This window comes from Homo sapiens, chromosome 1 (assembly GCF_000001405.40).
Source record: "Homo sapiens chromosome 1, GRCh38.p14 Primary Assembly".
NCBI classification, from domain to species: domain Eukaryota; kingdom Metazoa; phylum Chordata; class Mammalia; order Primates; family Hominidae; genus Homo; species Homo sapiens.
In genome coordinates, this window is record NC_000001.11 from 3,670,139 (window position 1) to 3,691,268 (window position 21,130).

At 61.5% G+C, this 21,130-nt stretch overlaps 1 protein-coding gene across 14 annotated transcripts in view, besides 6 other annotated features; it reads left to right on the forward strand.

Moving 5' to 3' along the window:
• Positions 1 to 21,130, forward strand: part of TP73 (tumor protein p73) — an 83,686-nt gene that overhangs the window by 17,623 nt on the left and 44,933 nt on the right. For 7 of the 14 annotated variants that reach the window (NM_005427.4, NM_001204184.2, NM_001204185.2 and 4 more), the window contains exons 2-3: positions 12,195 to 12,292; positions 12,922 to 13,042. In NM_005427.4, the coding sequence (NP_005418.1) occupies positions 12,228 to 12,292; positions 12,922 to 13,042 (186 nt within the window). In that variant the 5' untranslated portion in view covers positions 12,195 to 12,227. Of the gene's footprint in view, positions 1 to 5,187; positions 5,259 to 12,194; positions 12,293 to 12,921; positions 13,043 to 20,533; positions 20,807 to 21,130 lie in introns of those variants that run through there. The other 7 variants (NM_001126240.3, NM_001126241.3, NM_001126242.3 and 4 more) reach the window with 2 other exon arrangements.
• Positions 3,571 to 3,790: an enhancer, noted in NCBI's record as "active region_64". NCBI's record gives its function as "activates an Ori minimal core promoter by ATAC-STARR-seq in GM12878 lymphoblastoid cells {active_cell/tissue: GM12878}" and the evidence as "EXISTENCE:reporter gene assay evidence [ECO:0000049][PMID:35858748]".
• Positions 10,094 to 10,261: a silencer, noted in NCBI's record as "fragment chr1:3596796-3596963 (GRCh37/hg19 assembly coordinates)". NCBI's record gives its function as "represses an EF-1alpha promoter that drives an FKBP-Casp9 reporter gene in an ReSE screen in HepG2 liver carcinoma cells {active_cell/tissue: HepG2}" and the evidence as "EXISTENCE:reporter gene assay evidence [ECO:0000049][PMID:32094911]".
• Positions 10,551 to 11,286: an enhancer, noted in NCBI's record as "H3K27ac-H3K4me1 hESC enhancer chr1:3597253-3597988 (GRCh37/hg19 assembly coordinates)". NCBI's record gives its function as "activates a minimal SCP1, AML or CMV promoter by ChIP-STARR-seq in naive H9 embryonic stem cells {active_cell/tissue: H9 hESC(naive)}" and the evidence as "EXISTENCE:reporter gene assay evidence [ECO:0000049][PMID:30033119]".
• Positions 13,427 to 14,187: an enhancer, noted in NCBI's record as "H3K4me1 hESC enhancer chr1:3600129-3600889 (GRCh37/hg19 assembly coordinates)". NCBI's record gives its function as "activates a minimal SCP1, AML or CMV promoter by ChIP-STARR-seq in primed H9 embryonic stem cells {active_cell/tissue: H9 hESC(primed)}" and the evidence as "EXISTENCE:reporter gene assay evidence [ECO:0000049][PMID:30033119]".
• Positions 18,873 to 19,394: an enhancer, noted in NCBI's record as "H3K27ac-H3K4me1 hESC enhancer chr1:3605575-3606096 (GRCh37/hg19 assembly coordinates)". NCBI's record gives its function as "activates a minimal SCP1, AML or CMV promoter by ChIP-STARR-seq in primed H9 embryonic stem cells {active_cell/tissue: H9 hESC(primed)}" and the evidence as "EXISTENCE:reporter gene assay evidence [ECO:0000049][PMID:30033119]".
• Positions 19,395 to 19,916: an enhancer, noted in NCBI's record as "H3K27ac-H3K4me1 hESC enhancer chr1:3606097-3606618 (GRCh37/hg19 assembly coordinates)". NCBI's record gives its function as "activates a minimal SCP1, AML or CMV promoter by ChIP-STARR-seq in primed H9 embryonic stem cells {active_cell/tissue: H9 hESC(primed)}" and the evidence as "EXISTENCE:reporter gene assay evidence [ECO:0000049][PMID:30033119]".

Consider the following 21,130-nt stretch of genomic DNA (forward strand, 5'->3'; position numbering starts at 1 on the left):
CTGGGTGCGTTTTACACCACTCTGAGGATCTCTCTGCTCATCCCTAAGGCAGGGATGATGATGGGGCCAGGGGACCACATGGGCACAGGTAAGGCAGGGATGATGATGGGGCCGGGGGACCACATGGGCACAGGCTTCTGGAATGTGGGTGTCGTCTCCCTGGGGTCCCGCAGTCTGAACTCAAGACTCAAGAGCCCCATGTCCAGGTGGGGATGTACAGGAGCCCCTTAGAAGTGGGGAAGAAGGCCAGGCGTGGTGGCTCACATCTGTAATCCCAGCACTCTGGGAGGCTGAGGCGGGTGGATCAACAGAGGTCAGGAGTTCGAGAGCAACCTGGCCAACATGGTGAACCCTGTCTCTACTAAAAATACAAAAATTAGCTGGGCGTGGTGGCGCACACAGCTGTAATCCCAGCTACTGGGGAGGCTGAGTCAGAAGAATCATTTGAACCTGGAAGGCGGAGGTTGCAGTGAGCTGAGATCGTACCACTGCACTCCAGCCTGGGTGACAGAGCGAGACTCTATCTCAAAAAAAATAAAATAAAATAAAAAAGATAGGAAAAGAAAAAGAAAAAGTGAGGAGAAATGAGGAGGAAGTCGAGCAATTTAACCCCAAATGGTGCTTCTCCAGCAGTCACTCTGTTCCTGTCCTGACCTGACCTGCTGGGCCCCGCCCGCTCAAACCAAATCATGGATTCTGTCATCGCTTCTTCACGGAGCACCTACTGTGTGCCAGGCGGGTGCTGGGGCTGCAGCGCAGAGAGCAGTCAGGGCTTGGTGGTCTGGCCCGCAAAGAGTCAGCATGTGAATGTCTCTCCATGCGATGGGTGCTGGGAGGGAGGAGCCCTGGCAGGTCTGGGGAAGACCAGCGTCTCTTAAATGGGGGTGCGCGGGCCCTGAGGAGTGAGGCTTCCTGACAGCCGTCCCTCGTGGGTGCCATGCTGGTCAGAGTGGGGTCTGGCTGCACAGCCTCCCTCAGGGCTGGGCTGGAAGCACAGGTCGGCTGGCACCTGTCCAGGTTTCAGGGTTCCAGGGCTCCAGCTGGAACTGCCTCAGGGATGGCAGGGGTGGGCCTGTCCCTGGAGAGGCGTGGGGTGTGGGAGCTGGGAGCGTGACGGGAAGCAGCCCCCTCAGACCTGGAGTAGCATGGAGCCTAGGATCCATTGTGACCTTGGTGGTCCTGTACCCTGTCCAGCTCCAGTTGCTGTTCCTGCCTCTCCCTGACCTACTGGCTGCCCAGGCTGCCCCTTGGCCGAGCTCCACCATGGCCAGTGCCCCTCCATTCGCTTGTGAGTCCCACAAGATCACAGCCCTGCCCAGGGCCTAGGCAGCTCTTGGGCTGACCCAGCCATCGTCGGGAGCCCCCTTCGTGACGGGGGCAAAGGCTGGATCGTTGTCTGCCCTGCAGGAGCCGGGGCCTCCAGAGGACGGGCTGCCTGGCGGGAAGGTGGAGCTCACCGGAGCCCAGCCTAAGCCAGCTGTGGTGCTTCTGAGATGTGCGGCCCTGGGCAGGCTGCTCGCCCTCTCGGGGCCTCTGGGAACACCTGGGGACTTCCCGCTGGGTTCCTCTGAGGATTGAATGAGCTTGAAAATATGGAGGATTTGGCACAGGGAATGCTGGGCAGCAATATCAGAAAGGCAACCCTGAGAGCCAGCGGACAGCCACTCTGAGGAACAGCAGTGGCTGCCTCTGGAAGGAGTGAGGGGTGGGTGGACCCCCGTGATCGCTGCACGGGGGAGGTCACGGGGCTGAGCGGCCACCACTGTGCAGGGGAGGTCACAGGGCTGAGCGGCTGACTCCAGAACAGGAAGGGAACACGCCAGGAGGGAGGATTGCTCACTGAGTCAGGGCGGGACTCAGAGGGACGCATGACAAGTTCAGGGAGTTGACAGCTGTCTGGAAGGGCACGTCTGCTCAGACCGCAGGGTAGGGAGTGGTCAGCAGGGAGACATGTCCACTGGTGCAGCGGGCGTGTCCCAGACCCCTTAGAGAAAAGCCCAGAGCCAGGGGTGAGGGGTATGTGTAGGGTGGGGACATCTCAGAGTGGAGCATCCCCACCAAGGGTGTCCAGAGGAGGGTGGCCAGGTGGGGACAGCAGCTTGAGAAGGGTCATTCTCTCTTGGTTGGAGGAGTGGAAGTGCTTCTCTGGGGAAAGAAAGAAGATTCTGGAGGACAGCACAGGCACTTCCAACATGGGCGCTGGCCGCACAAAGGCTAGTGACACCCGGTGTGATCCCTTGGGGTAGAAAGGGGGTGTGAGAGGAGGATCGGAGGGGGCAGAGGACAGGGATGTGTCTGTGCAGAACGAGGCTGTGGCAGCTCCAGCGAAGGCGGCTGCGGCCCCATCAGTCACCTGCCCTGCTGAGGGCAGCGCTGTACTCATCACCTGTGAACACAGGTATCGACTCAGACACCCACTCTGGCCATAAGCTCCGCTCTGTCCCAGCCCTGGACCCCTCACCCCCTATCCTTGGCAGTCGGTCCTCTGGGTCTTCTTCCTGTGCCCACTGTGCTGGTCTGAACCTCCCTTAGTGACAGATCTGCTCCTACCACCCCCGCCAGGGTCGCCCTTCCTCTAACAGGTGGGCTCCTGGCAGGAAACATCACCAAGCTCAGCGCCCCAGTTCCCTGACAGGGCCCCACTTCCCTCCTGCCGCCAACCTCGTCCCCCCAAGGGCCATGTCCCTGCCCACCCCTTCCACCCCTTTCTTAGAGGAAGCTCAGCCCATCAGGCCGCTCATGCTTCTGACCCCACCTCCAAACCCTCCTGACCCGCTTACCCCCAGGAGCACCGCCCACTCCAAGGCGCAAGCAAGCTGGGGCTGGGGTGCAGACTTCTCTTCCACCACCCACCCTCCTCATACCCAGCCTCTGAGGGCCTCACAGACATACATGATTTGCCTCCAGTGGGCCAGGGTTATCTGTTTACCGCGTTGCATGCCCCCGGGCATGGAGCTGGCACCGGCTGCCGCTGCAACTGGGCACTACCCGTTTCGAGGACGCCTCATTCCCTGAGAGACTGAGGATAGGCTGGTGCTCTGCAAAAGGGTGCGGAGACCACTGTAAAAGTGGGGTGAGACACGCGTGCTGACCATGAAATGGAGAGGCACTCGAAGGAGCCAGGGACCCGGCAGCCAGCAGACCCCACCTTTCCGCCCCCGTGTGTGCAGTTCTGTCGCTCAGCCTGGTGCCTTTGGGACCCGGGCCTCATTGGTTCTTCCTCCACTGCCACCACCTGATACTAAATAACCGTCGGTCAATGGCAACTCGATACGGTTTATGGGGCATCCACGGTGTGCCCAGATAGAGGAGTGCTTTCGCTTTTGATATGCGTAGAGTTACTTCATTCCACCTAGCGCTTCTAGGAGGCACTACAATTATCTCCATTTTACAGACAAGGAAACAGAGGCTCAGAATGGGCAAGACATCTATCTGAGGTCACACAGCTAGAGCGCGGCAGAGGTGGGCTGCGTGGGCAGAGCAGGAGAGGGAACTGGAGTGTGTGCCCGGCAGTGCTGGGCTTCAGGGCACGAAGCGGTGGGGCAGGAATCATGTGTCTTGGTATGACCCAAACACATATATGACAGCAAGAAGGCCTGGGCAGGCAGCAGAGGACAAGGCGGGCCTCTTGGATGTCTGGATGTGGATTGGGCCTCAATGTACCGGTGAAGATAGATGGACAGGCAGGGGATTTCCAGAGAGGGGCTTCCCAGGCAGGGTGCGGGGTGTGGCTGTGCGGTGGGAACACGGACTGGGGAGGGGATTGCAGCCGGGCCCGTGCCTCCCTTGCTCAGCTCCAGGTCAGGCCAGGGTAGAGCCAGGCTGCTGGGTTCGACCTCCACCCTGACCAGCTGTGTGCCCATGGAGGGCTGGTCTTCCCTCTCTGTGCATGTCTCCTGGTTGGTAACAGGTGTGTGGCCTCACTGGGCCGTCGTGGGGTGGCTGGAATCCCCGGGAATTAGCCATGCTTTGGTGTTTCTACATTTCACTTGGCTGAGTGTGAACTGACCCAGGAAGCTGGTTGGGGGCACCCCCACCCACGGGGGGTCGGGCATTTTGGTTTGGTCATGGCCTCAAAGCTTCTGGGGTGAGGCTCAGGGATTCCCCCAGACTGTCCTGGGCATCTGCCTCCCCTCCCCTCCCGCTTCCCGTGGGCCACGGCCCAGGAGAGAGAGGGCAGCTTGCTCAGGCACCTCCAGCTGTCCGCATATTTCACACGGTGCACGCTACCCCACCGTGGGAGGCTGTGTTTGTCTTTCATCCCCATGCTGGGCTTCCCCAAACTAGGGGAGTGGGGCAGCAGGCGTGCCATCTGTGGCGGTGAGGGGGGCTCTCAGCCGCATCCTCCTCACCAGGCCCTGCGGACAGGCCTTCGTCCCTGCCCCTGACCTGCTGACGAAGCCGTCCTGGCAACCCTGTCTGAAGGACCTGGCCCCATCGTACCCACAGAGGGAGGCCACATGGTCCTTAGCCTCTGTCGGGAGGGGCAGGCAATGCTGGCAGAGGGCCTTGCCCCTGAGAGGGAGGCCCTCCTGGCCCTCACTCCGGGGGACCCCTGTCCTTGGCCCCAGCCTGCCAAGCGAGAGCGGCCCCTCTTCTTGCGGTGGCTGGAGGGGAGAGTGAGGCCCCTTGGCACAGAGGGCCCCAGGAGGCTGGGCTCTGATGACGCCCTGCAGGAATTCCGCTGGGCTGCTGCCTGGGAGAGCCGCTGTCTCACACAGGGCCAGCCTGCCTGGCTTCATTCTGGTGCGCTGACCGCCCGACCCCTCTGCCCAGGCGGGGGCTCTTCTGGGTTCTGGGTCCTGGGACCTGCCTGAGTCCCTGGGAAAAGGGCACAAGGGGATTGAGACGGTCTCCTCCCACAATGGCCCAGGTGTCTCCTCCCACAATGGCCCAGGTGTCTCCTCCCACAATGGCCCAGGTGTCTCCTCCCACAATGGCCCAGGTGTCTCCTCCCACAATGGCCCAGGTGTCTCCTCCCACAATGGCCCAGGTGTCTCCTCCCACAATGGCCCAGGTGTCTCCTCCCACAATGGCCCAGGTGTCTCCTCCCACAATGGCCCAGGTGTCTCCTCCCACAATGGCCCAGGTGTCTCCTCCCACAATGGCCCAGGTGTCTCCTCCCACAATGGCCCAGGTGTCTCCTCCCACAATGGCCCAGGTGTCTCCTCCCACAATGGCCCAGGTGTCTCCTCCCACAATGGCCCCAGGTTTCTTTGCCACTTCAGATTGGAATCGTTGATCTGCTGAAATAACAGGTAAAATCATTGGTGGTTTGGGAACCACCGGAATCAGAAGTGCATTGAGATGTTTGCTTTAGGGGTGGCCCGGGGCGGGTGGAGTTCCTGGGGGCTTTTCCCTCCTCCCTGAATGGAGGAGGACACCCTGCACCCCTCCTGTGATCCCCCTTAAGAGCCAGTGTCCGGGATGGCTGGGCCAGACGGGGCAGAGGGGCCTGTGTCTCCTGCCCAGGCTGAGTGCGGACGGCTCGGTCTCAGAGCTCCACCGAGGGGTGGGTAGGTAACAGCAGCCCTGCGGCCAGGGCCCCTGCAGGTGGGAGTGGGTGTCCCCATGGGGAGTGCCTCTTCCAGAGTGGGCTCAGTCGGGGTGGAGTGTCCTGGCTTATCAAAGGTGGTTGTGGAGCCCTGTCTGCCCCAGGCCTGGGCAGAGGTGGAAGGGGTTGGGGAACTGACGAGGCCTTACCTGTGGGCCCATGGCCAAGGAAATGTCTGGTCTCCCACCTCCTGTCAGGTGGTGAGGGGAGAGGATGGGGCGTCAGCCGGAGACGGGGTTCCTAGAGGAGGCTGGGTCCTGGCCTGGCCTGGAGAGATAGGGATGAGATGGGAGGGCAGGAAGGGGGTGGTAGACAAAGGCTGAACACAGAGAGCACATAGCCAGGCATGTGGGGACTGGGGACAGGGGACAAGGAGGGCACCCATGGGGACAAGAGATAGGGAGAGGACAGAGGGACAGGAGACGGGGAGGGACAGAGGATGGGGGACAAGGAGGGGACAGGAGGACGGGGACAGGGAGGGGACACAGAAACAGGAGCTAGGACGGGGACAGAGGATGGGAGAAGGAGAGGTCAAAGGGACAGGGAACAGGGAGGGGACCCATGGGGATAGGGCAGGGATCTATGGGGACAAGGGACAGGGAGGGGACAGAGAAACAGGAGATGGGGAGGGGACAGAGGGATGCAGACAGGGAGGGGATAGAAGATGGGGGGCTAGGGGACAAAGGGAAAGGGGACAGGGAAGGAACCTATGGGGGACAGGGAGACAGGGGGACAGGGAGAGGACAGAGGAACAGGGGACAGGGAGGGGATGCTTGGGGACAGGGAGGGAATGCTTGGGACAGGGCAGGGGGACAGGGGGCTGTGGCTTTCGTGGGAAGCTATGGAAGACGAGGCCAGAGGGGTTGGGCAGGGTGAGATGAGAGAGGCTGAGAGCCCCTCACCGGCTGCGGACTCCTCCCCACAGGGCAGAGGGGAGCATTCGGGTGCGGCCAGGCCATCAGAGGACCTGGGCTTGGCTGGAGTCCCAGCTCCTCAGCCCTCAGTAGCTTTGGGCCAGCCACTGGGCCTCCTGGCCTCCACTTGCTCATCTCTGAACTGGGGCAGGGTTGGCGTGTGAGCCTGAGGCCCTGCAAAGTGCCTGGCCAGCCTCAGCTCGGAGCCATGGCACAGCACCCCCTCTCCGCCACGGCCCCGACAGCTGGGCGTGCGTTCTGCTGTGGGCAGCTGCCCTGAGCAACGTAGGGTGCTAAGCAGCATCCCTGTCTTGCACACTAGATTCCACAGCACCCTCTGACCCCGTGGAAAATGTCCCCACATGGGAATATCCTCTGGGGGTGGAACTGCCCCTGGTGAGAACCCCTAGGCTGAGACCTCAGAAGGCCCTGAGTCAAACCGAGAAGTCATCAGAGAGCCTTGTTTTCAGCTCCAGGGAGCTTGGGCAGGCTGGTTTTCTGGGCCACACAGTCCCCTCCCCAGCCCACCTGTGCTCCGTGGGTCCCGGGGAAGCTGTGGGGGCCTAATTGCTGGTGTGAGTTCCTTTCCTGTTCTGAGTCACACGTGTGTGGGGGCTCTCCCTGTGGTGCAGCTGGTACAGCGGCCCCTGGAGTTGAGGATCCAAGCAGGCTGAGGTCTGGGTTTGCCGGAGGGCCCTCGGTGGCTGGTCTTTGTCCTGCTCCCACTGCTGTGGGCACTGTAGGACTTGGAACGCTGGTCACCTTTCCAGCCTGGCAAAGGGAGGGGACTTGTCTGAGGCCTCATGGAAGTTGGGGCAGGGTCGAGGTGCCCTGCTTCCTGGGTGTGCCAGCAGCCTACAGCCTGGCTACAGCGTAACCAGGAACACCCAGCACAACTGTCCTTTGCAACTCTGTGCCCTGACTTGATGGTGCCAGGGCTGGGGGGGTGCCGGCCAGCAGCTCCCCAATGACCACCCCCAAATGCTGTGGCCACACAAAGCCTTCCACTGCAAGACCTGTGGTAATACACACTGGACGCCCCTGTTACAACTGAGAACTCATTTATTTCATTTCCTTCCTTCCCTTTTTTTTTTTTTTTTTTTTAGAGTTGTGGTCTAGCTCTGTTGCCCAGACTGGAGTGCAGTGGTGCAATCATGGCTCACTGCAGCCTCGAGCCCCTGGGCTCAAGTGATTCTCCCACCTCAGCACCCTGCGTGGTTTGGACTGCAGGCACATGCCATCACGCCCTCATGCCCAGCTAATATTTTTTTAAGTTTTTGGAGAGCTGAGGTCTCCCTGTGTTGCCCAGGCTGGTCTCAAGCCCTTGGGCTCAAGTAATCCTCCCTCCTTGGCCTCCTAAAGTGTTGGGATTACAGTTATGAACCACTGCACCCAGCCCATCCCTCCTAGACTAAATCTTCTTAGAAAAACCTACACTTCCAATAATGTATTTGCATTTTATGATGTTGATAAAACTTCCTAAAGATGTCTTATGAAATTGGTCTCCTTTCCCCATTGATACACATGATTTTTAAAACTATTGGCAACGTTTCAAAAGCAATTTCTGTTTTGTCCCAGAACCGTGATCCCCTTGTGAACGAATTTTCAAATTAAAAGGCAAATGGTTGGGAAAATTGGATTTAATTGAAAGGCCATTTTATTAGAATTGACTTATTTTTCTCGCCACTGGGATCCTTGCCTGAAAGGCGGCTGTGGGCAGAGGGCACATACTCCCCCTGCCCCAGCGCAGCGTCCCTGCACCCCCAACAGAGCTTCCTGTTCCTCATGCCCAGTACTCCCAGATGCCTGCGGAGCCAGTCATCAGCTCAGGTGTGTGAGGCCGGTTGGGGGAGCCCCTGCCTGGCGCCTGTGCCTGTGAGCAGTGTTCCTGTGGGGCCCTGGGACCAATGCTACCAGCGTTGGCGTTTTCCCAGGAAGTTGGGAATCAGGCATCTCGTGGCTTCCGGTTCAAGTTCCTCCGTGTGCTTTAAGTCTGGGCAGGTTTCCGGGTCCTGGTTTTGGCTAATGAGGAACCCGATTCCCATGGGGGAGGCCGGTGGCTGCAGCAGGGCCCCGAGCAGTGGCAAGGCTGGCCCTCATGACAGTGTCCTCCTCAGGGGGCCTGTCCCAGGCTCTTCATGACTCCCCTGGAGGCTTGTTAAAGGGGCAGATTCCTGGGCCCTGCCCCAGCCCCACTGTGGGGAGGGGTGTCCTGGAAGATGCATCTGCCCAGGGCTTCCGGCTGGTCCACACGCCTGCACCTGGAGGCCCACTGCCCACATCTCAGGCAAACAGGCCTGGGGATGTTTGGGGACCCAACTCCTGGCGTGGAGGAAGCCCCTTTCCCACCCCACATGCTCCTGGTGGTGGCCTGTCCTGTGAGCCTGGAGGGCCGGACGGGTGGGATCGGGGACCCACGACCACGCTCGCTGGCCTCTGTCCTGTGCCCAGGCAGGGATGAGAGGCCAAGCTGGTGTCCTGCAGTGCACAGTGGGTGCCGGTCAGGGGATGTGGAAGCTGGGTCTCCGGCAGGCAGAGGCGCGCTGACAAGAAGGGTCGCTGTTCCTCATTCAGGGTTCAGTGGGAAGAGAGGGTGTCGCTTCAGGGGGAGTTCACAGGATGCCGACTTGAAAATACAGCCAACGCCCATGTCCCAGGCATAAGATCACAAATCATGTTTTGCCGACCAGTTCCTGTGAGCCCTGAGCCCTGCGCGGAGGGATGCCCCGTGCACACCTGTTCACGGAACCCCTGGACCTCCAGTAGGGGTGCGGCGGGATGCCGTCGGCTCCCACGCTGTCTGTCTCCCTGTCCCTCTCTCTTTCCCTCTGTTTCTCTGTCTGTCTCTGTCTGTCTCTGTCTCCCTGTCTCTCTCCATCTCTCTCTGTCTCTCTCCCTGTCTCTCTGTCTCTGTCTCTCTCCATCTCTCTGTCTCTCTTTGTCCTTGTCTCTCCCTGTCTCTGTCTCTCTCACTCTCTGTCTCTCTTTGTCCTTGTCTCTCTGTTTTGTCTCTCTTTGTCCCTGTCTCTCTGTCTCTGTCTCTCTCTCTCTTTGTCCTTGTATCTCTCTGTCTCTCTTTGTCCCTGTCTCTCTCTGCCTTTGTCTCTCTCCGTCTCTCTTTGTCCCTGTCTCTCTCTGCCTTTGTCTCTCTCCGTCTCTCTTTGTCCTTGTCTCTCTGTTTTGTCTCTCTTTGTCCCTGTCTCTCTGTCTCTGTCTCTGTCTCTCTTTGTCCTTGTATCTCTCTGTCTCTCTTTGTCCCTGTCTCTCTCTGCCTTTGTCTCTCTCCGTCTCTCTGTCTCTCTTCCTGTCTCTCTCTATCTCTTTCCCTGTCTCTTTCTGTCTCTCTTTGTCTCTCTCTTTGTCCCTGTCTCTCTGTCTCTCTTCCTGTCTTTCTCTTTCTTTGTCCTTGTCTCTCTCTCTCTGTCTCTCTCTTCCTGTCTCTATCCCTGTCTCTATGTCTCTGTCTCTCTTTGTCCTTGTTTCTCTCTGTCTCTCTGTCTCTGTCTCTCTCTGTCTTTGTCCCACCTTAGCCTTGGGAGGGGACAGCTCACAGGCTGACAGATGAGGTCATGTGTCCTGAGCATGAGGTTTTCAGGTCTCACCCACGCTGTAGCATGTCAGAGCTTCGTTCCTTTTCATGGCCGCGTAATGTTCCATTGCTTGCTGGCACCACATCTCCTGTGCCCGGCCCTCTGCTGATGGGCGTCTGGGCTATGTGCACCGTTCAGCTACCAGGAATGGTGCTGCTGTGAAGGGAGCTGGGATTTTGTCATCCACCTGCTGTGGATGGCAAGTCCATTTCCATCTCTGGACTCAGGTGGCCCATCTACAAAATGAAGGGGATGCGACCCAGAGGCCTCTGGCGGCAAAACCTTCCCAGGCTTGTCCTCTTGGATCTAAGGGAATTTCTTTCCTCCGAGTCCAGCCCCTCCAGTGCTCCTGCCCTTCAGGAAACATGCCTGGGACCCCTCACTTGTGCCCACCCAGCCTTGGCCCACATACCTGCACCAAGAGGCTACCCTACTCATACTGCTCAGCCCAAAGGGACCCACCGTGGGGTATGGGCAAGGGCGGGTTCTGCTCTCCCCCGGGGCCCTGTGCCAGCCTCAGCTGGACCTGCGGTTCTGCTTCCTGTCACACTCTCCCATTTTAAATTAACGGAATGGTGCGGTCCCCATGCACACCCTCAGCTCCACTGGGGTTTTAGCCCAGCCCAGGATCGGAGGCCTGCAAGGGCACACCCACCTGGCCACGTGATGGTGAAGTGGGGTGGGGCAGGGCAACCAAATTAACTTCTAATTCTAAGAGCCCCTGGAGCATTCATCACCAGCACTTACAGCCGTGTGACCTCACACAAGTCACTTAACCCCTCTGAGCCTTGGGGCTCCTGAAAAGTGGATGGAGCGGTCACGCCCACCTGGGAGAGGTGGCTTGGGCCAGCACCCTCTAAGCTGCTTGTCCCAGGCCATCATGGCTCACGGACCGCCCCTCAGCCTGGCCTGTGCCACTTCTCCAGGGCCCGGCACGTGGCAGCCACAGGCTTCTATCAGCTCCCGCCTGCCTGGGGAAGGACAAAAACGACAGGTTCCAGGCCATGGCCTGCACCCCCGCTGGCCGTGGGCAGGTCCAGGCCTGCCTGCCTGAGCATTGCAGGGCGGTGGCCAAGCCTGTCCCATAGCACCTCACCGAGGACCTGGGAGGCTGGCCCAGGGGAGAGGTCACCTCAGCCGGGGCTGGGGGCTGTGGGCAGGGTGGGCTCGGGTTTCCCTGTCCCCTCCCCCAGCTGTGCTCTGCCTGGACACTGCCACCTCCTCATGGGTGTCCAGGGCCACTGGGAGCTGGGCCCAGGGGTTCTCAGGGGAGCAATGGTGGAGACAAAGACCAGCGGACGGGCGCTGGGGTCAGAGCTCTCCAATCCCTGGGTGTCTCCTTCTCAAGGCGTGACCACCCAGGCAGTGGCCGGCTGCAGGACAGGGCAGCTTCAAGTTCCCAGCCTTGCCAGGCTTCCCTGTGGCCCTGGGGTGCAGGAAGGAGCCCCAGCTCAGAAGGCGAGGGGGCGTCTGTGTCCTGCAGCAGTGGGCACAGCTAGGCTCTAGCCGGGGGCTTGGCTGCAGCCTCCAGCGCAGCCCTCACACACGCTGTTCCCAAGATGGGGTGACCGGGACCGGAGCCACCTCCAGGTCCCGGGCATCAGGGAGACCCCAAACCTGGCTGCATCCCCCAGGCCAAACCCAGACACAGGGGATCGTAACAGACCACAGGCCTCACACACTTGTTCCGGCCCAAGCATCCCCCAGGCCAAACCTAGACACAGTGGATCATAACAGACCACAGGCCTCACACGCTTGTCCCGGCCCAAGCATCTCAAAGAGTCTGCTCTCCTGAAGGCCCTCAAGGCAGCCCCAGGAGCGGGTGTTGCTGTCACCCCCTCTTCCAAGGCGACGGCTCTGAGAAGCTCCTGCCTGCCCAGGGCACCCCCACGGATGGGTCTGATCCAGGCCCGCCACCTCCAAGGCAGAGCTGCCCACCTGGCCTTCGGTTTCCAGCCGCGGGGAACAGGGTGGACGAAATGACAGTGGAGAGGGCACAGGGAGGGCAAGGCGGGGGCACCTGCTCCAGGGATGCCCCAGGCAGGCCCACTTGCCTGCCGCCCCCACCGAGGCTGTCACAGGAGGACAGAGCACGAGTTCCCAGGGTGCTCAGGTGTCATTCCTTCCTTCCTGCAGAGCGAGCTGCCCTCGGAGGCCGGCGTGGGGAAGATGGCCCAGTCCACCGCCACCTCCCCTGATGGGGGCACCACGTTTGAGCACCTCTGGAGCTCTCTGTGAGTGCGCTTGGCTGGCCAGAGCTGGGGGCCCCCCTGGGAGGCACTCTGGGCTAGCCTCAGCCACCTTCGCTGGGCTAACTGGGCCAGAGCAGGAGGGGTGGCCCCGGGAGGACTCTGGGCTAGCCCCAGCCACCCTCACTGAGACTTTGGGCTAAACTTGGCAACCCTCACTGGGATTCTGGGCTAGCCTCGACCACCCTTGCTGCACTAACTGGACCAGAGCAGGAGAGGTGGCTCCACACTAGTCTTGGGCTAGCCTTAGCCACCCTCATCAGCTTGGGGACAGGGCGGGTCGGAGGGGCAGGGAAGAGGGACTGCTGCCCTAGGCCTTCCCTGGGGATGCAGGACCAAAATTCAGACTCTTTTCTCTGGCCAGCTCTGGAGAGGGCCCATGGCCAGCAGAGGCCCAGAATAACAGAGCCCATGACTGGCTCTGCCTCTCTGGCACTCACAGCAGCCCTGGAATGGCAGGTGGAGGACAGAGATGGGATGAGAGGGAATGGGAAGGGCAGGAGACGTAGGCCTCACCAGGAGTCTCAGGCTAGCCTTGAGCTCTGGGCCTGGGAGGTATTGGGGTGACACCCAAACTGGGGACTGACGCTTCTATTTTCCTCTCCCTGCCCCAGGGAACCAGACAGCACCTACTTCGACCTTCCCCAGTCAAGCCGGGGGAATAATGAGGTGGTGGGCGGAACGGATTCCAGCATGGACGTCTTCCACCTGGAGGGCATGACTACATCTGTCATGGTGAGTGGGGGGGCTGCCCTCTGCAAGAGGACTGGAGTGGGGACAACAAATGTGGCCTGTCCTGTCTTGGGAGCCTGGCAGAACCAGGAGATAGCCTCTTGGTTGTACAGCTTCCCCTGTGGGTTTCTGAGGACACTTCAAATTGCAAAGGAGAAAATGTATCAGCTCATGTAACTGTCAATCCAGAGATAGGAATGGATTCAGGCATGGCTGGATCCAGGTGTAGGAAGGGCTTCAGGCATGGCTAGATCCAGGTGTAGGAAGGGCTTCAGGCACAGCTAGATCCAGATGTAGGAAGGGCTTTGGACATGGGTGGGTCCAGGTGTAGGAAGGGCTTCTACTGGTGGATCCAGGTATAGAAAGGGCTTTGGGCATGGCTGTGTCCAGGTGCTTCACAGCTGCCTCGCTCAGTCTCTTGGTCTGCTTTCCCCTGCAGTGACTTTGTTTTTAGGCCGCATCTCCTCTCATGGTGAAGAGTACCAGGCTCCACCAGCATGCCCTATCCCTGTGGAGAGGAGATCCCTCTTTTCCCATAGTCCAGCAGTCCTGCCTCCCGTTGATCTGAATGTGGTCATGGGCCCATCTCTGAGCCACATCTGTGCCTCTGATTGGCCTGGCCTCCACCATCAGTGGAACAGGGTGACAATGGAATGGAGTGGGGTGGGCCTCCCCACACAGGGACCCCCAAAGGAAGATGGAGGTGCTGTTTCCAGGAGAAGAGGACTGGATAGGGGGCAGGCAGGGCCAGTGAGGCCTCCGGCACCCCATCTTGGCAGGCTCCCCCATTCCTGGGAGTCTCAAGCCCTGCCCCATTGGCTGCTCCTCTGGGGGAAAAGGCCAGGCTGTGGGAGCTGGTGGGGGCCACGCTCCTGCCTACCTCTCTGGCTGCCCATAGCCAGGCCTCGACTGTGCCGGGAGGTGGATGGCAGGTGGGCACCACACGTGAGGAGAGAGCAAAGATCCCGACCTGGGAGGCCCAGCGAGGCCAGCCGTCCCCGCTGGACTCGTCAGCTGCTCGGCCCCGCCCACAGGCTGGCTGCCCCGCCCCGCCTCCGCCGCCCAGGGATTCGTAGGTGGGGAATTTGTTTGCGCTGCGGAAAACCAGCCCGAACTGTGGGGATACGCGGAACAGCGCGTCTGGGGCAGGGTCGGGCCTCCCTCACTTATGCTCAGCCCGAAAGGGAGGGAGGCGATGCTGGGCCTCTGGGGGCCTGAGAGCACCCGGCCTGGCCCTCCTCCTCCCTCAAGTCCCCATTCCAGGAGCTGGAGCCCCTTCCTTGCCCCTGCGCACGACTGACTGTCTGAGGCATGGGGGTGGGCGGCCCAGCCACCCTGAGCACTGGAGGGAGTGGGGGCTGTGGGGCTCCAGTCAGAACGAACAGAGTGAAGCGGGGTGGGGGAGTGTAGAGGTGGAGGGGCCGTGTTGCCTGTTCCGTCTCCATTGCGGATGCTGGGCTGGCCCAGAGCCATGTGGGGCCAGAGAAGGCACCTCCTTGGGCAGCCACAGTCCCGGGGGGTCAATTCCTCCGAGGAGCCCCTCAGCCTGTATCTGAGGGTTCGACCGCCTGCCCCTGCCCTCCCACCCCTGCTCAGGAGACCGTCCCAGTGGAAACACTCGACAGTGTCTGCGCGTGTTCTAGTCCCGTGTTATGGGTGAGGAAACCGAGGCAGATGCTGGGAAAGGGTGGGCTGGGGATGGGGCCGGGTAGTGCAAGAAAGTGAGACTGCAACCTCTCCCCTCTCTCGCTTTGGAACAGTTCTGCCGGCTGCTCTCTGGGGACAAGGGTCCTGACCCCACCCCCTCCAGGTCCCCTTCTGGACATCCGTGTCCTCCAATCTGGGGAGGGGCAGGAACTGGCCGCTGGACCCCAGGGAGGGAGGGAGGAAGACCCATAAGATTGTCCCCTGAGATCCAGAAGCCACCTCCCAACCCCAAGTTGCTCAGCCACTCCCCCTGCAGAGGGCAGAAGGCCCCTAAGATGGCACAGACCCACCCTGTGTCGGGAGGAGGACCTGGACTCAGGGAGGCAGAAGGAGCAGTTCTACATTCCTGAGTGGGTGGAGCGTGCTTGTCCTCCCCAGCCCCGGAGGGTTCCCTGAGCTCCATATCGGGGTCTGGTCCGAGCCCCCGCCTGCTGGAACGTGCCACTCCCCAGCCACAGGGTGACAGTGGGAGCCTCGAACCTCCGCAAACAGCAAGGTGGCTGGATCTGTCTGGCAGCGACACGCCTCCTCCCAAAGCCATGTATGAAATTCCTAGGTGCACAGCTCGACTCACGGAGATGGGGGATTCCCTGGAATGAAGGCAGGCCCAGGCCTGCGTGGGGAGAGCCAAGCCTCATTCTGACCCCAGGGCCCAGCCCCCTCACAACAGTGGCTGCTGGGCCAAGAGCATGCTGTCCCCTACCCCTGACTCCCATGGGAGCGCCAGGTACAAAGACAGAGACTCCGAAGGGCGCCAACGGGTGGGCTCGGGCAGCCTGGCACAGGGCCCAGGGCTTAGCTGCCTTGAGAATGGCCCCTGGCCCGCTAACTCCAGGGGTCCCAGAGTGGGGCTGGAGCTGAACTGGGGGGCATTGTTTTAAAGTTCAGCCCAGGAGCTCAGGGAAGCTGCTGTGCTGGGGCTGGGGACCTGGACCCGGTTCAGTGCGGATGCGGGCATGGGGGGCTCTGAGTGCCCCCTGGAAAACTGCCACCTGCAGCTCAGGGGCCCAGTTCTAGCCCCACCACGAGGCTGGTGACCTTGGACAAGAAACACCACACAGGCCCGGCCTCGGGTCAGACAGGCGGTTCTAGTGCCGGATGTTTCCGGGGCTACCGATAGTCCTGAGTTCGTGGCTCAGGTGGGGGGCCTGCTTGTGGAAGTGGCTGCACACGCACCTGCCCCCACCTGCCCCTGGCGGCTCCCTCTGGCCACCTGTCCCTGGGTGTTGGTGGCATCTGGCTGCTCCCATACTCAGGGGCGGGTCTGGGACTCATCCAGCAAAGGGGCCTCAGCTCGGGCAGGCACAGTGCTTGAGCGCAGGACACTGGTCCTCTGCAGTGGGGCGTGCCTTCCGCATCTGGGGGACGTGGGTCTCCCCGAACCACGAGCAGGCAGATTGGTTCCCGTTGGACACAGGGTGTCTGAGGGATGCCTTAGCCACCTGCTTAGCAGCCGTGGGAGACAGGCGGAGCAGGTGGTTTCAAGCTCCCACAATTCTCTGAGCCTCCATGTCCTTGCTGGTGAAGCTGGGGTGACAGGGGGTAGGAGCCCAGAGCAGAGAGCCCTTTGGGAGGTGGCATAGACTCTGGGATGCCAGGTGCTGGGTGCTGGCTCTGCCCAACCCCGTGGGCCTCGGACAACCCTCCTGCCACACTGGCCCCTGCAGAGGAGGCTGAGTTTAGGCAGTTCAGGAGAGTGGGGTGTGGGCAAGAGCAGTTGAACCCTCAGTGGGCTCTAGAGGAGTCCCAGGCCACAGACTTATTGGGGAGACTGTGAGCTCTGTGTGGCCATAGCAGGAAACAGACCCCGTGGTCACTGTGGCCATCTGACTGAGGTGGCCCAGAAAGTCCAGCAGGCCGAGGTGGGTGTGGCTGGGGGCTCCGAGGCCAGGTTTGCTGAGCTCAGGACCTACCCCTTCCCTTCTGAGCTGGGCAACTTTTAAAGAATTACATAGCCCTCTGGGCCTCAGTTTCCTGTCTATAAATGGCGCTACTGAGAGGCTCCAAGTCACCCACGATGTGAGGATGTCCAGTGGTGCCGGGCCCATCGGGAGTATGTGACAAACGCTAGGTGTGAGGGTGAGGGCAGGGAGGAGGCCCTGTGTTTAAGAAAGCTGCTCCTCGGACACCAGAACAGCAGAGCCAGGAGGGCCTAGGATAGGATCTGGGACCAGGGCCTGCTGCCTTTGCCTGGCACAGTTCCTGCCTGAGCTGTCCCGTGCCTTAGGCTCTGGCTGTCCCTGAAGACCCTACATGGCTCACAGGGACCTCACTCTAAAATAGGGCCCCGTTCTGCAAGAGGAGAGCAGGGGGAAGCCTGTGGCCCGGGCCTCCCCATGGGCTGGGGAGGGTGGGCCGAGGAGCCACAGCTAAAACTGGCCCAGCCCCTGCCCTCTCAGGACCCTGGCTGGTTCCCTGAATGAGGAAGGCTTGACGGGCTTCTGGATGCCACCTGGGTGGGGTCTGCCCTGGCCACCCCCACACCGTCTGGGAAGAGCTGCAGAGGATAAAGCTCCCTCGTAGGCTCGCAGGCTGCGAGGAGGCAGTGTGGGTGTGATGGTGGGGCGGGGGTCCTATCCTCACCCGGACCCACCCGAGGAGTCTCTGCAGTGCTGGGCCTGGGCTTGGAAGCGAATCCCTGCCCCTCTGAGCGCTAGCGTCCCCTCGGACAAAACCAGCGCAGGGCAATGAGACCTGCGGCCCTTGCTGGCTCTCAGGATGCTCCACAAGGAGGGAGGACACAGGAGGGGAGAAAAGGAGAGAGAGGCAAGTGTCTCCTCCCTCCCCTCCCCTCCACTCTGCTCCGCTCCCGTCCTCTCCCCTCCCCTCTCTGTCCCTAGAGCCTCCTCCAGGGCTGGCCCCTCCCCTGTGCCCCTTCCTGCCTCTCCTGGCGCCTTTCTCTGACAACAGGTGTTGTGGGCAGGTGGGCCACAGAGCGGGGTCTACAGCTGGTGGGGCAGAAGGCAGGCTGATCTACCCTGGGAGCCCCGGGAACCCAGTGGCAGGACAGACACCCGGGGTCAGAACCTTCGGACACTTGGGGGCTTGAGACCCTAGAGGTCACCCCAGATAGGCCTTGGTGACTTCAGGGAGAGGTATTCTCCCCAGGCCCAGGAGAAGGAAGGGCGCAGGTCCCGTGCATGTGTGGCCCCCAGGAAAGGGCAGGCGGACAGAGGGAGAAGGACACCCCTCCCTTCCAGGGAGGATCTGTAGCTGGAGGAAGGGTGGGGTCATGCGTGGGAGCAGGGAGGGGGCTCAGCTCACCACGGTCAGCTCTGAGACTCCAGCCCACCCGTTACCCCCTCCCAGAGAGCCCCCACTCAGCCTTTCCTTTGGTGGGCTTTCGTGACAAAGCACTTTGGGGCTGCACAGAAGTGAACCCCACCCAGCACCCAGGTCTCAGAGCCTTGCAGCTTCTGCGGCCTCTTCCATGCGGTGGGATGAAGCCAGCTGCCCAGCAGGGACCCTGTGCCATGAGTTTGGCCTTGAACTGACACATCACTGGCACCAGGAAACGAAGTCCCCCTGTCTGTTCTGGCACATAACCCCTCCCACTAACTGGTTCCTGAAGAGTGCCGTGGCCTGCGGCAGCGTCGTTCCCCCCTGTCCTGCGGCCCAGGGTCCTGCGGAAAGTCAGGCGGAATCCCCGGTGAGTCAGAAGCAGAATGAAAGCAGAATGGAGGACCCAGCAGGGAGGGAACCTGGAGGAGGCGCTAAGGGCCACGCCAAGGGGGTGTGGCCCCAGATCCCCTGTCCCTGTCCTCTGCAAGGCTGGGCCTTGGGAACGTTTGCAGAAAGCTGGGTGCCGCTCTGGGGCAGAGGCCAGTGGTTTTGGGTGCTTTTGAGTTGGAAACGTGTAGCTCAGCCGCACTGGGATCCCCGCAGCCTGGCCCAGATGCTAAGGGTGGAGAGATGCGGGGTCTCAGGCACGGTGCCCTGGGCATGGGTGGGGCTCGTGCTGAAGGCAGCCTGGCTGTCTTCCTTCCTCACGTCCTTCCACTTGGCGCTCTCCTTTTGGCTATTTATAAAACCATCAGGCCGGCCCTGTGCATGGGACTCGCCTGAGTCTCCTTTTCAATGCATCATTCCCTTTGGCAGGAGAGGACACCGCCTACAGAGGCTGAGGATGTGCCCTGTGGGGGTCGGGAGCGGAACCCAGGCCCCGCCTCGGCCCTGCTCTGAGGGTCTGTCCATCCCTGGGGAGCCCGCCCCCAACCCAAGAGGGGTCCCAGGCTCAGAAGCAGAAGGCACCCTCATCCCCAGGGCATCCCCGATCCCAGCAGGAGTCTCCTAGTGCTCGCCCTGGGCTCTCCTGCAAGGAGGCTGCTGCTTTCCCCAGAACATCCAGTCTGGGCCCCAGCCGACCCCCTGCAGGGGGCTTCCCAGAGACGCCCTTCCTGAACCTGATCTACCAGACAAAACTGTCTTTTTCTCAGTCGTCTCCTCCTGAGTGCTGCTGCCCTTCCTGTTGGGGGCTGAGATCCTCTGCCACAGGAAGAGACGGGCGTCCAGGACTCACCTGCTGCCTCCCGGCCCTAGGGCCCTGAGCTGGGCTCTCCAGGCCCCAGCCCCTTGGGGCACAACACCTGGAATCGTCCTTTCGTCCTCAGCCCGGCCTGCTGGTGGGGCAGGGCGGGTCCCCAGGGCTCCTCAGGCAGCTGCAGTCCAAACCTCCCCTGCCCTCACCCAGCTCTGCCCGCTCTCCCGGGGGTGGGGGTGGGGAGCGATGAGGCCCCTGCCGGCTCTCGGTGGGGACGACAGGGAGGAAGGAAGCTGGGGAGATGGAGACAAGAGAAAGCAGGCAGGTGGTTTGGGATTTGGCAGGAAAAGGTTGGAAGGAAAGGGGAAAGGGTCTCCGCATGGATTTCTCAGCTCCCCATGGATTTCTCAGCCCTCGTGAGAGCCACGGCGCCCTGGGGACTGGAAGTGTGGGTCCGCAGGCCCCAGTCCCCAGGTTTGTCTGAGCATAGATGCCCTGCCTGCTTCCAGGGGGACTCGGGCCCCTCTGCCAGGGTCAACTTTGTACCCAAGACGGCTGAAATACAATGGAAATTCAGACGGCCCAACAGGGAGTGGCAGTCACCTCAAAGGCCCCACTAGACGGGTGCGGGGCACCACTGCAGAGCCCCTCCCTGGCTGTGCCAAGGCCGTCCACGCCTGCAGGGGGCCCCACTGCCGGGCTGTTCTTTGGCAACAGTGGCTTGTCCCTGTTTCCTGGGGGCTTGGCCAGTGCCAGGGTGGGCTCCAAACGCACGGCTCTGGGCTCTTGGACTCACCCCTGCTTTGGGCAGGCAGTGGAAGGCAGGCCCCACAAGAGCTGCTCACTCCCGTCACCTGTCTCCCTCGGGGGTCTAGGGTCGAACCTCCTGTGAGCCCCTCCTCTCCATGCAGCCCTTGGACTGGTCCTGGCGGACCACCGAGTTCCCCGCGCAGGGGGCAGGTGCGCCCCACCTGGGTGCCAAGGGAGGCGACACCATCTCTCCCCCTTGGGGTGGCCCAGCCTTGCCTACCATGATCTCCAGGGCCGGGGCTCAGCCCTCATGCCTGGGAACAGAGGCTGCTTTACGGGGTGAGGGCCTGGGGCCCCCCGAGCCTTCCCCAGGCAGGCAGCATCTCGGAAGGAGCCCTGGTGGGTTTAATTATGGAGCCGGCGCTGACCGGCGTCCCCGCCCTCCCCACGCAGCCTCCTTGGTGCGGTCCAACACATCACCGGGCAAGCTGAGGCCTGCCCCGGACTTGGATGAATACTCATGAGGAATAAAGGGGTGGGCCGCGGGTTTTGTTGTTGGATTCAGCCAGTTGACAGAACTAAGGGAGATGGGAAAAGCGAAAATGCCAACAAACGGCCCGCATGTTCCCCAGCATCCTCGGCTCCTGCCTCACTAGCTGCGGAGCCTCTCCCGCTCGGTCCACGCTGCCGGGCGGCCACGACCGTGACCCTTCCCCTCGGGCCGCCCAGATCCATGCCTCGTCCCACGGGACACCAGTTCCCTGGCGTGTGCAGACCCCCCGGCGCCTACCATGCTGTACGTCGGTGACCCCGCACGGCACCTCGCCACGGTAGGTGTGACGCGCCATTCATAGGATCTCTTCGGGGACTTTGCGGGGGATTTTGCTGCAGTGTAGGGTTCAGAGGGGCATCCTTCTGCCTGCCTTCCTGGCCTGGAGTCTGCTGCCAGTTGGGGTGAGCAGAGGTAGGAAGGGAGGCGTTGAGGGGCTAGAGGCAGGTCCCAGGCATGGAGGCAAGCAGATTCGGGCTCCAACAGCCTGTGCCCACCTGCTGGGCAGGGACCCGCAGCCAGGGAGAGGAGGCCGGGTCCATGCCGATGGGGCTGCTGGTGTTTCTGCCTCGTGCTCGGGGGTCTCTGATGCTCCTTGGCTTTG